At 46.3% G+C, this 14,008-nt stretch overlaps 1 pseudogene; it reads left to right on the forward strand.

Annotated features, from left to right (window-relative positions):
* Positions 1 to 4,516: 4,516 nt before the first annotated feature.
* On the forward strand, positions 4,517 to 13,817 carry LOC102724093 (golgin subfamily A member 6-like protein 4; annotated as a pseudogene).
* Positions 13,818 to 14,008: the final 191 nt, after the last annotated feature.

Here is a 14,008-nt window from a genome sequence, read left to right on the forward strand (position 1 = left end):
TTCTGTATTTTGACCTGGGTGATGGATAACAAAAGTATGTACATCAATAAAAAATACATCCAGTGCACTTTAGATTAGTGCACTTTACACATTTTATACATGTATTTTTAATGTCAATTTTTAAAAAATCTGGTATGGTATATACCCCCACAACCCCCCCCCCAAAAAAATGCAAAGATGCAAATGACTGCCATTTGGGAAACACTGATCCAGGCAGGCTCACTAGCAGTGACCAAACACCTGAGAAAGGGTATTGTGAATACCTGATGTATGTGCCAGGAACTTCCATGGTTGAATAGCTCCAAATCTCAGAAATGCTCCTAACCTAGTGTTGAGCTCTGGTGCATAGATATATTTTCTTTTCTTTCTTTCTTTTTTTTTTTTTTTTTTTGAGGCAGAGTTTCACTCTTGTTGCCCAGGCTGGAGTGCAATGGCACGATATCAGCTCACTGCAACCTCCGCCTCCCAGGTTCAAGCGATTCTCCTGCCTCAGCTGCCCGAGTAGCTGGAATTACAGGCACATGCCACCAATTCCAGCTAATTTTTTGTATTTTTAGTAGAGACAGGGTTTCACCATGTTGGCCAGGCTGGTCTCAAACTCCTGACTTCAGGTGATCCACCCACCTCGGCCTCCCAAAGTGCTGGGATTACAGGCTTACAGGTGTGAGCCTCAGCATCCAACCCAGAATAGCTTAAAAAAAAAAAAAAGCCAGGCATGCCCAGTTCTTCATGTGAAATTATTTCTGTATCACCTCATCATGCTGCTCACCCTCTTCCACTGTTCTCTAATTTGTCCTTGTTGATATTTAAAAGCTGGCACAAGGCCGGGCGCAGTGGCTCACACCTGTAATCCCAGCACTTTGGGAGGCTGAGGAGGGTAGATCACTAGAGCCCAGGAGTTCGAGACCAGCCTGGGCTACAGGTGAAACCCCATCTGTACTAAAAGATACAAAAATTAGCCAAACGTGGTAGCCCAAATCCCAGCTACTTGGGAGACCGATGTAGAAGGATCACTTGAGCCCAGGAGGAGAGGTTGCATGAGCCAAATCAGCAGGGCAGCTGCAGAGTGGGGTGCAAGGTCCTCAACCCAGAGGTTCCCTAGGCCCCACTTGCCCCAGCTCATGAGAGCCTGGTTCTGAGCTCTGCCAGGACCGGGGCTCAGCACTGCCCATGAAAACAGGCGTGGCAGGGAAGAAAATCATAACCAAATATTTGTAGTCATTCCAGAACCTCCCTTCTGGAAAGGGAGGTTCCCAGGTTTGTGGGCTCTTTGCCTCCTGGACATTATTGTGTAGTGAAGGGAGAAAGGTTGAGATGCAGAGTTGGAGAAACTAAGAGAGGCCGAACTGGTCCATTTGAGGAAAGATGACTGATCCCAGAAGGGGAGGAGGGGACACCCTGGGGAAGCAGGGGGCTTCCCAGATGGTCCAAGAAGGGGAGGGCAGGATATAGAAAGTCAGAGCATGGTTTTGAGTTTTGGAGACAACAAGAGAAAAGAGGGAGGGATTTGGACAACTATGGAGAGGACTGGGCTGTGGAGAGAAATGTTTAGAGATTTGGAAGATGGTGTGTCATGCGATGTATTGTGAAAACCCCTTCTTCATATCCCTAAAAGACCACCGCTGATGGTGATTCATGGTACAATTGATGATTGTATCATGATATAATTCAGTGCTTTTGCAGAGGGATTGGTGCCTTTTTAAAATAATAATGATGCTTTGGCTTGGCTCCATCTGAATTAGTAGAGACAGACATCTTGAGCAGGTTTTATCAGAGTTCCATTAGCTAAATATTGGGTTTCCTATTTTGTGGCTTGCTTTAAACCACTTTGTAGGCCCTTCCGCACTGAAAGCCACTACAGAAATCACCTCTTTGGTCTGCAGCTCCACGTCCCCAAGCTCTGGGCTTTCCTGAATGAGTGGCCTCATTCAGAAGATAATACAGCATCCCTCATCCGAAAATCCAAAATCTGAAATGCTTCAAAATCCAAAACTGTTTGAGTGCCGACATGATGTTCGAAGGCCAGATTCAAAGGAAATGCTCATTGGAGCATTTTGGATTTCAGATTTTCGAATTCCAAAATCTGAAAAAAATCCAAAATCTGAAATACTTCTGTAATTTAACCTGTAATAGACATTTGGTCCTGACCTTCCAGCTGAGGCAGCAAGCAGTCAACAGAGGCTCACCATGCATCCCTCCTGCTCCTCACCCTCCCACGGGCTTGTGCCTCACCCCCCAGCCTCCCTTGCACCTGCTGGGGAGGGGACAGGATGCTCCTGCTCTGCCTTCTTGGATCTCGGGCTACTGTGATAATTGCAGGATTCCAGCCAGGGAAAATGCTACAGGTAGAAGTACTTGGTACTCTCCATAGAGAAGTTTCCAGCAATGGCACATCTGCCCCAGGAAGTGTGCTGCCACACCCAGCTAATTTTAAAAACTTTCTGTAGAGGTGTGAATTCACTATGCTGCCAAGGCTGGTCTTGAATTCCTGGCTTCAAGTAATCCTCCCACCTTTGCTTGCCAAAGTGCTGGGATTACGGCATGAACTAGAGCTCCCAGCCGAGAGTTTAGTTTTGTTTGCTAGTGGTGTTCTTGGTATCTTTTCATATTTGAGGCTTTGGTGCTAGTGCTGAAGTATTACACTCACCATCCGAGGTTTGCAGGACTTTTGTTTCAGTATTGAACAGATGGAACTGTTTAGTTCTTCATCTTTGCAGGTATACCAAATGTGCCTACCAGGAGTCTGCTTTATAGCCATTGAAAAGCAAGAAGTAATATAGTAAAATTTTGCCTGGCTAGAGGCTTTGGAAGACAAGTATTTTGGCTTAATTCTATTAACGTGGAAGGATGAAGGTGAAAAAAATTCAAAACTTTAATATCCTGTTTATTGCAATTTGAAAATATAGCCAATGATTCCACTTTTCTTCTCCAGTAAGTTTGGACATTCTGATCTACTTGGTGTTTTATTACAGAACTGCTAGTGTGCCTGAGTCTTACATTGTGAAGATCCTTCTCTAAAACTTCACATGTAAGAGAATATAAATGATATTGGATAAGATCAGGCTGGATGAGAACTGATACCTGTAAATATGCGATTTAGACGAAATCTCTGATTGTTTTCTTATTTAACTCATAAAAATAAAACACATTGGCTGGAAGGTGGGAGCAGGAAGGAGATTTATGTCTTTTAATTGCACGTCATTGTTTCATATAGAGAAAACATATAGTATCCCTGGTTTTGGACCTACAGAAGGAAACACATTTTTCTACCTGCTGTATGCCAGAGGTTCTTGAACACCTGGAGGGATTACTGCAGCACAGATTGCTGAGCCCTACTCCAGAGTTTCTGATTCATCAGGTCCAGGGTGGGGCCGGAGGATGTGTATTTATAAGAAGTTCCCAGGTGCTGCTGGAGCTGCTAGTCCAGAGACTACATTTTTGAGAACTGCTCTCATATACTAACTGTAAGTTGCAGAGCTCTAGAAAAAAAGCTTAGTTTGGTGTGGGATAAGAAGCACACAGGTTATGGAGAAAATCATGAAAGATTCAACCCTTGATCCCAGCCTAGTGTGGATTTCAGGTAACAAGCAATACACAGTGACATAACAAATTCTTGGTTTTCATGACTGCAAGTGAGAGCCAAGTATCAAGTGAGAAATTCAGCTTCATTTGCAAGGCTTAGAGAGGCCAGGTGATTCTAGAAAAATGGGCCTTGTAATTCTCTTAAACCAGTAAAGAGCTTTAAGTGGTTATTAAATTGAAAGCTTTGTGTTCTTACTTATTTTGTATTTTATTTTATTTCTTTTGAGATGGAGTCTTGCTCTGTCGCCCAGGCTGGAGTGCAGTGGCGTGAGCTTGGCTCACTGCAACCTCCATCTCCTGGGTTCAAGTGATTCTCCTGCCTCAGCCTCCCAAATAGCTGGGATTACAGGCACCCGCAACCACGCCTGGCTAGTTTTTGTATTTTTAGTAGAGACAGGGTTTCATCATGTTGGCCAGGCTGGTCTCGAACTCCTGACCTCAGGCAATCCACCCACCTCGGCCTCCCAAAGTGATGGCATTACAGGCGTGAGCCACTGCACCCGGCCCAAAAGCTTTGTGTTTTTAAAGATATTAGACATGTTTCTTGTTTTTAAAAGAAATCTTAACAATAATGTAGGAGAATAAGACAAACATTTTTCCAAAAAAGAGAAATTGTTGTGATTATTTTGTCTTATTGGAATGTCGGATACTATAGTCGGCTTCATTAATCATCAAGCATGCTATGGATTTTCCATTTTTATAGGATCTATATCTCAGTTAAGGTAATACTGGTAATTCTTGTACTCCATTTGAAGATGAAAAATATAGGCCAAAATCACAGACTTTGCACAGAAGCTGCATAATGAAGACAGCTCTGGAGGAACACATAGATACACACACACAGACACACATATATATAAAGTATATACACATATATTTTTTAAAGTTTATTTTTTACAGTTTTAAAAGTTTTAAAGCAAAACCCAGCCCTTCCCCTCTCCCAGAGTGGGCGGCCCCTCCCCTTTCTCTGAGTGGGCGGGGACAGCGGTTGCATGGGCAGCTTTCCTTATGATGCCACAGGTCCCTCTGGACATGCTGCTGCCTGGCCACGCCTCCTTTCCCTTTCATCTTTCTCACTGACCAATGGGCTTGGAGCATTAAGGCCACGCCCCTATTCTGCGTTCCATTGGTGCCCTGGTTACGCCACCTGTGGCTCAGTTGCACAGCTGCCTGGTAGGTGACTGGAGGCATTGAGCAGTGCTCACTGGTATTTCGCTGATGTGGCCCCAACCCCGCCTCCCTCCCCACCCCGCGATGTCAGAAAAAACACAACAGGGGAAATTGGCCGCAGCCAAGAAAAAGGTAAAACACACCAGGTCATGGCCCCCAACCCAGCCACAGATCCCCTCCGATGACAAGACCTGTGCCAGAGTCCATACCACTCCTGAGGCATACCAGATGGGGCCCCCCAACCCCAGCCCCTCTGGGCTCCCCCAACCAAAGCCTAGTCAGTCAGCCCCACCCCTTCAGCAAGCAGCCCAGTCCCTGCCCTTGCCAATCACCCCAGGGTGACTTTGGGCAGGTGACTCCTGGGGCTCCCTGCTCCATAATCAGCTCTCACCTCCTGCCACCCCAAGCCCAACCTCCCTGGGCTCTTTGGGCTTGCGTCTCCCAGGACCTGGGTCCCCCAGCCCCAGGCCCTGCCCTCACCAGTCATCCCTGGGTGGCTTTGGGCTGGTGACTCCCGGGGCTCCCTACTGCAGACTCTGCCCTCCCCTCCTGCTGCCCCAAGCTCGACCTCCCTAGGCTTCTTGGGCTGGCGTCTCTGAGGACCTGGGTCGAAACCGTGTGTTTCCCTCCCCCATCGTGGAGCAGCGACTCGGGCATCGCGCTGATGTGGTCCCCTCCCCTGGGAGGAGTGGAATGCAATGATGTCACAGTGCCCCTAGGAACTGTCATTACTGCTGCAAGACCGGCCTTTGATCTTACAACCCAGTCCCCTAAGTTTTCTCACCCCATTTCTGGTTCCTCTGGTTGCAGCACAAATTTCCAGCTGGAAGGGGAGTGGAGACTATGGGACCTAGGAGCAAGAGGTTTCAGGCTGCCTTACTCCCTTAACATAGACATTGACAGTGGGAAAAGCCTACACTTCCCCTGTGAGCTCAAAATGTTCACAGTATCTCTGGGTGGCAATGGGAGAATGGGTTTGGTTTGGTTTTTTCCCAGGCTTCTACTTTCCAGAGAGACTTTAACATTTTTTTCTGAGTTCTCCACGGTTCTGGGACCAGACTGCCCTTCAGTCAGTGGCCTCTGAAGTGAGATTTGCTCATCTTCTGTGGAATAGATCTTGGGAAACTGAACTTGACAGCTTGAATCTTCCTCATATCGTCTCAACCTGGGGTACTTTGAGTGCCACAGGATAAATGTGGGACATCTTTCTGAAGCATCATTTCCCCTTGATTCTCTTGAGAAAATGCATTAATGTACTTAGGGATGACAGACACATAGGTTTCCAAGCGTATACCAGACTTCGCTCTGAAATGAGGCTTGGGTTGTCCTCTTTCTGATAAATTCCCAGATTTAATAGAAAAGCTGCCTTCTGCCATGAGGACACATTGATATGAAAGTGTGAGAGGTACTGGTACGCTTCTTCACGCTAGCAGACCTGTGAGGATGTATGACTCTAAACCACACGGCCTACAGTTCCTGCCTGCTTAATGTTTACTTTTCTACCTCTGCCCCTGGTTTTGGTCCCTGGAAGCTGCTGATTCATGGCAAAACCCCAGAGCTTGGAGTCAGAGGACTGAGTTTAAGTTCCAGTATTGCCTTTTTTGATCTTTCTTTTTTTTTTTTTTCTATCCATGATATCAATCCCTCTCAGTCACTAAGTGATTGTGACAACACCTTGTACAGTTGTTGGTGGCATTACATCAGATGGTATATAAGGGTATTTTGTCAAAACTGTAAAGGAGGATGTGGCTGTAGGGGCTGATCATTCTCATGAGTGTTACCGCTCTTCTTTCCCACAGTTAAAAGCATATTGGCAGAGGAAGAGCCCTGGCATTCCAGCAGGAGCTAACAGGAAAAAGAAAATCAATGGCAGTAGCCCTGACACAGCCACTTCTGGTGGTTACCACTCACCTGGGGATGTGAGTCTCGGCGGGCCAGGCTCCTGGGGACAGGGGGCCCAAGGGGCAGTAGAGGGTAATTGTTAAGATTGTAGATGGACTGTTGGGTACTGGTTAAGAATTCTGGATTTGAATCCTGCCTCTCCATCTGCTAAGAATTGATTAGGGATTGATTAGCATATGATTTAGGGCAAGTTGCTTGAGGTCTTTGGGCCTCTCTTTTCACATCTGTATAATAGAGGTGGTATTTTTTGACTTCCATTTGTGAAGTTTAAATGAGATTCGTTATTGTTGCTTTTATGTGAATCCTTAGTACATGGCCTGCTGCAAACACCCAGGACACCGAGGAAATGGTCGTTGCTGTTTGATTTTCCTCATCCCCAGTCTCAAGGGGAAGCCAGGCCAATGAGAAGAGCCACTTGCCATCAGGCTGTCCCTTTAGGAGTCACTGAAAGGGCCCCAGGGTGGGATGGTGGGGAGATAAGAACCACGAGAGAAGTTGGCACAAAGGAGTTATGGGAAAAAGGGTCCAAGATAGGCAGAAAAGAAGCTTTTGCCAGTTGATGGGGGAAGAAAGGAAGTCAGAGGGCTTAGACAGTGAGGGGGGACAGAACATCTCCATGTGCACTCTCATCTCTTGCAGTCAGCAACAGGTATCTACGGGGAGGGCCGTGCATCCTCTACTACCCTGGAGGATCTGGAGGTAAGAGGCCCTGGGCCGAGGTGCAGTGACCCTGCAGGCCAGCCCTCCAACCTCCTCCCACAGCAGGGGCTTGTTGCCCCTCTGCCAGCTGAGGCAGCCCACACACCCCCACCAGCCCTAATGATTATTCTCTCTACCCCTCCCCACAATCTTCCTCCAACTCCTTCTCTCTGCATGCACCTCAGAGCCAGTACCAAGAACTAGCAGTGGCCCTGGATTCAAGCTCCGCAATAATCAGTCAACTCACTGAAAACATCAATTCACTGGTAAGAGTCCAGTGGGGTCCCCTGATTACAGCTGGTCAATCCTGGACTCCAGTTTCCTCTTGGGGCCCTGAAGAAAGGAGCTAGGGGCCCCTGATGCCAAGGGCAAATGGGGAGCTGGGCACCCAGGTCTCACCTGGAGGGACCCCAGAGCACAGAACATGCAGCATGGGTCTTCTGCACTGCCCTCTTTGCTGACTCTCTCTTCTCCAGACACCCCTGCTCTAGTCCTTGCCACACATGCCCTGGGGTTGTCACCTCTCTGGGAAGCACTAGCCTGACTGGTTGTCAGGGGTCCATATTTCTGCCCTGCCTCAGTCCCTAATTTGCTTTTTGAGTCTGGACAAGCCATCTCTCCTCTTTATGCTCGTGTTTCTGGAGGAGGTAGAGAGTATCAAAGGTCTCGGTTAGCTCTGAAAGTCAGAGATTTAAAGGCCCCTAGAATGGAAACCTCAGGGCCAAGGGCTCCTGTCTGTCCTTTGCTGTTTTATATCTCTGCTATGAAGAACTGTACCTGGCCTGTACATGCTCAGTAAATGTTTGTTGAATGAATGCACGTTTCTAAATCACAAACTGGCAGAAGGGGGGTGGGCCCTTCTCAAACTCTGTCTCTGGAGGTTCACCAGCCCCTCCCTCCAGGGCCCTTTTCCCCCTTTGCTTTGGGCAGGTTCGCACATCTAAGGAGGAGAAGAAGCATGAGATACATCTGGTACAGAAGCTTGGGAGGAGCTTGTTCAAACTCAAAAACCAGACGGGTAAGATGGGGCTGGCATGACCTGGCAGCTGGACTGGCATTAGAGGGCTGTGGGGGTGACTTAGAATGCCCCAGGGAGGTGGGTGGATGGAAGGGCTTTGAGGCAGAGGGAAAGAGGTCTGTGCCAGGGGAGGACAAGTCTTGTCATCTCCATGAGCCTCAGTGTCCCCATCAGTAAAGAGGGAGGAGTGCCCATTGTCAGCCACCCACAGTGCTCTCTATCTGAAAGTGACTTGGAAGACTGGCTACCATCCGGGTGTGAGGAGTCATTAGCAGTGAGGCCAAGTTTGGGAAGCCTGAGAGGAGTTGAGGAGAGGCTACTTGAACAGGAGGAGAGGCTGTGTGAACAGGAGGAGAGGCTACGTGAACAGGAGGAGAGGCTGTGTGAACAGGAGAAGCTGCCAGGGCAGGAGAGGCTGCTGGAAGAGGTGGAGAAGCTGTTAGAACAGGAGAGGCGGCAGGAGGAGCAGGAGAGGCTGCTGGAGAGGGAGAGGCTGCTGGAAGAGGTGGAGAAGCTGTTAGAACAGGAGAGGCAGCAGGAGGAGCAGGAGAGGCTGCTGGAGAGGGAGAGGCTGCTGGAAGAGGTGGAGAAGCTGTTAGAACAGGAGAGGCGGCAGGAGGAGCAGGAGAGGCTGCTGGAGAGGGAGAGGCTGCTGGACGAGGTGGAGGAGCTCCTGGACGAGGTGGAGGAGCTCCTGGAGCAGGAGAGGCTTCGGCAACAGGATGAGAGGCTGTGGCAGCAGGAGACTCTGCAGGAGCTGGAGAGGCTGCGGGAGCTGGAGAGGCTGCGGGAGCTGGAGAGGATGCTGGAGCTGGGGTGGGAAGCCCTGTACGAGCAGCGGGCCGAGCCACGCAGCGGCTTCGAGGAGCTGGTGCGTTGCCCCACCTGGGGAGGCTGCCCTCTTCCCTAGCCCTCAAGGCCTTTGTTTCCCCACCTGTAAAATGGGGCATTGTAGCCTTCACATGAAATGGTACTTCTAAAGGCATCTGTGAGCCAGAGCCCCGCTCTGATGGCTGTGGGAGAGAGGGGATATTTTTCTAACCTGCCTCCACCCTTCCCGGTGCCATGGGAGGCAGACACTAAGTTCTGGGGTCTCCAGTTTTAGTGGGTGGCCACTGATTGCTTCTCTCTGTCCAGAACAACGAGAACAAGAGCACACTGCAGTTGGAGCAGCAAGTAAAGGAGCTGAAGAAGTCGGGTGAGCTGAAAGAGACTGTAACCTCCGACCCATCCAAGAAGATGTGGGAGGCGGGCACCAGCCTCTGGGGAGGGGAGGTGCCAGGCCACAGGCAGCTGCAGCCTGGGGACAGGTGACCCCAGCACCCTCCGGGGCAGTCCTATGACTGTTTCTTGCTTCCTGCCCTCTGACTTTTAGAGGTGGGTAGCCCTGGGGTCCTCCCAGGTCTGGACATCATCATCCCAGCTAGAGGCATGGAGCCCCCCAATCACAGAGGAAGAGACAGTGGTATAAGAGGCTCCTTATGTCGGGTGTGGTGGCTCACGCCTGCAATCCCAGCACTTTGGGAGGCTGAGGCAGGACAATCACTTGAGGTCAGGAGTTTGAGACCAACATGGCCAACATGGTGAAAGCTCATCTCTACTAAAATTAAAAAAAAAATAATAATTAGCCGGGCCTGGTGGTGCATGCCTGTAATCCCAGCTACTCAGGAGGCTGAGACACGAGAATCACTTGAGCCCGGGAGATGAAGGTTGCAGTGAGCTGAGATTGCACCACTGCACTGCAGCCTGGGACACAGAGTGACACTCTCTCAAAACAAAACAAAACAGACAAACAAAAAAGACTCCTTAGATTCAAACTGGATTCCGGCCTCGGTTCCACTGGTCATAATTCAACTACTTTGCATCTCTAAGTCTCTGTTTCTTTAACTTCAAAAGGAAGTTAGCCTTTTCCTTGCAGAGGTGCTGAGGATTAAATGAGATAATACGTGGAAACATTAGGCATGTAGCACACTTAGCAGATGGTGGTTGGCTCCGCCTGCTTTTCCACCAGTCTGTGGCCTACAGTTTAAATGCTGGGAAAAAGGACGTGAGATTTGATGCTAGGGAAGGAGGCATGGGGTTCTAGGCAAGGGAGACAGTCTCTTAGGCCTGGAGCAAGGGGCCAGGGGCCTGGGCAGGCCACAGAGCCCCACAGTGTCCTCGCTACCCTATTAATGGGCCAGGAATCTGGAAGCCAGCCACCACATGTCCTCATGCCCAGGGTCTTCCGGCAGGTGGAGCTGAAGAGCCAAGAGGCTCCGAGTCTGCAGCAGCAGCCAGACCAGTAGCTGGAGCCCCAGTCCCACAAGGAGCTTGGATGTGCGGACAAGCAGGGTGGTGAGTAGAGCCCTCAGGCGGGGTGGGCAGGCAGGAGCAGGGGAGGCTCGCACTGTGCCCAGATTCCCACCCCCCTCCCTCTCTCTGAAGATCTTAGTGGGCTGAGCCTCACTGATAGCATGGAGGCTGCACCGGGAGAGGACAGGGAGGGTTCTCCCCCATGACAACCCCACTGCACAGCAGATCCAGCAGCTGCTTCCTCTAATGCAGGACTCCCCAGGAGCACCCAGGCTTGAGTGGAGAAGCTGTTGGTACAGGAGAGGCGGCAGGAGGAGCAGGAGAGGCTGCATGCCATTCTTTTCGGGCTGCGGAGAACAGGGAGCTAAACATCACCATCATCTAAGAGCGGGTCAAGGAATTGAAAAAAAAAAACAAAACATTTAAGGGGTTAATATCCTACACAATTCATTTACTTCATTTGAATGTTAGAGCCACTTATGTTTATTTGTGTTTCTAATTTATAGTTTAAATTTATTTGTGTTTCTAATTTATAGTTTAAATTTATTTGTGTTTCTAATTTATAGTTTAAATTTATTTGTGTTTCTAATTTATAATTTAAATTTATTTGTAAAAAGTTAAATGAGAGTGGGTGTTTCTCTCATGTTCACTCTGGCATCTTTTAGCATTTTTTTAATTTGATAATTATAGGACGTTAGCATGCATATCGAGTTTGCCCTTATGTGGTGGGAGTTCAAACACACAAAGACCCACTGTATGCACACAACTGTTCTTGCTGGTTTGGGATAGGCTGCCATGCTTTTTTAATGTTAGTACAGCCTGTATATTCATTACGGAATTCAGATAAAATTTCCTTATGTTCTGCTGTTATGTTTGATCGAATCCTAATCACAGTGAGCTCTTCATTAGCTCAATATGCAGTTTGCCCTCAAGTGCGCGGTCTATTACTTTGTAATATGCCACTGTGAGTACTGACATTTACAGTTGTTTAAAGGTGGAGCACTGGAAACAGCCTTTCCCCCTTTTTCTGTGTATTGGGGATGGGAGTAATAACATTTTGGGGAGGTTTTTAAATCTCCCAGAAGAGGAAAGTGGCCTGCTTTGGCAGGTGTGTGCAGGATAGAATATGTTTCATTTGTTCCGGTGCCAAGAATGAGCGCTGTACTACGGTAGTTCCCTTAGGATTTGTATGTGCTCTGGGCTCATGAAGATACTGCCTCATGAGCTGTGGCAGTTGTACTCTTTTTTGATGACCTGAAAAGGGATTATTTCTGAGGAATGAAAGGCTCCCATCATGACTGTGGATGTGGAAAACCTTTTCTAGCTGAGAGCATTTATATCTACAATACATTTTAAAGTCAGAGTTCATGTTCCCTGTTTTAATCACATGACTACATGTCCCAGTACACAAAAGGGCACTGGTTGGCGTTCTCCTTAATGTATTTAGTAAAGATCAGAAGAAATCCTTTAAGAGTTTAAATGCCCCTGGAACAGGCATATACAGGCTCTAGTCAAGAATGAATTCGAGTGAAGGAAAGCTGTGTGACACCTGGCATTCCTCTGTGTTCATGGAGCTTATTTGAGGCTAGAAGATGGATTTTACCATCTAGACCTCTCTGGCTAATAGCTAGTCTTCAACCATCTGACATAGGAATTTACTTCTTTTCCTTGAATGGAGAACACTTTAAAAATAATAACAAACATTATTATAAACTAATATATGTGAGAGTACTTAGTTGAAACAAAAAGGAGTTTTAGTAGACAGTATTATACTACATTTGAAAATCAAGGAGCAGTTTATGCAACGTAAAATGTTTACAAACTGCAGCGCAATCTACTGTTTGTGACTGTCAAAGTGTCATGAGGAAAGTGTCTATACAATCACAGAGTTATATTTCCTCACAAAGTTCTTTACGAAGAGTGAAATATGTTTTTATACCTCTCAGTTTCAGTTAGAGGCATATTTTGTGTAATATTTATGGCTTAAAATGGACTAAAGGTCCTGTTCTTGCCTTTTCTGAACTTGCCGCTTTTGCATTCTTTGAGTTCAGTTTAAAGACACTTACTTTAACTCCATTTTAAACCCTCGGGCTAGAAATCGTACCACTGTTAATTAGCCACGTTATTTGGTCTAACAGTTTTTGTTTATCATTCTGAAACTGAGCTTATCTAATACATTGATAAATTATTTCAAAGGTATTTTTATAGTTCAAATCGCTTCACTTTTACCCTGACACGTATAAATGAATAGGAATGACCTTCAGATAGCGTTTAGCAACTGTAACCAATCTGACAATAATGTGTTCATCAGGTACCTGTGGATTAAATCACATACTGGCATATTTAAGATGAATGTCAGTCTGAAAAATAAATATACTATATTAATTCAAATACGACTCTTTGTGTAGGTATTTTGTCATATGTTTAAGAAAAAGCTAAAGAGAATGGAAATCCTATGACAATAACTCAAGTCTTTCTTCAAAGTGCATGCAGTCTTTTGCAGTACCTCATTCAGCCAAGTATTTGTTCTCTACCTCATTCAGTATAAGGCAGCCTTTAATTTGCTTAGAAGGCAACATTAGAAGGTTAGAGTTCAGCAGGAACATAGAATTTTAAAATGTGACTTCAACTGAATAAATTTGAATTTCTCTAGGGAGTAAAGAATCAAAACACCTATTTAAAGACTGCAAAATATGATAATTATTTTTAAAGTAATTGATTAAACCTGGTAGGTTTTCCCAAAATGAAAAACAATCAGTTCTAAAACCAAAGCTGATTTTTAGAAAATGTGAAAATGTAAATCAACCCTATCCATAATAGATTCTCTAAAACTTTATCTTACAGTCACTTTCAAATAACTATTCAAAAATGTAACTGCTATATTAACGTCTTAAAATAATTTAAAACATTTTAAAATATGAATACTGTAGTTTAAAACAAAGAATCTAGGGGAAGGAAAAGTAGACAAAGAAATGCCAATTCCAGTCCAAAGCTGTATTTGCCAAGTTTTCTTAGAATGACTTTTACCGATTTATGAATTCTTATAAACAGAATGCATAATGGAAATACTGATTTTTGTCTAAAGTGGCATTATTGACTGCTGCTGTGATGCTACTGTAATGTAATACATTATTAAATTGTTTCAAGGTGCTGTTTTGCCTAAAAATTTTGTGTGTCTTGAAAACTATAGTATTGGGTATTGAGACTCTGCAAATTCTCGGCATGCTTGGCATGAGGTAATCGGTTTTTATTCTTACAAAATTGTAACTATGTAAGTGTGTTTATTAAAAGAACACAAACTAAAAAAGTTAACAGGAATTAAAGTTGTGGGATGAAAAAGTT

Source organism: Homo sapiens, chromosome 15 (assembly GCF_000001405.40).
Source record: "Homo sapiens chromosome 15, GRCh38.p14 Primary Assembly".
NCBI classification, from domain to species: domain Eukaryota; kingdom Metazoa; phylum Chordata; class Mammalia; order Primates; family Hominidae; genus Homo; species Homo sapiens.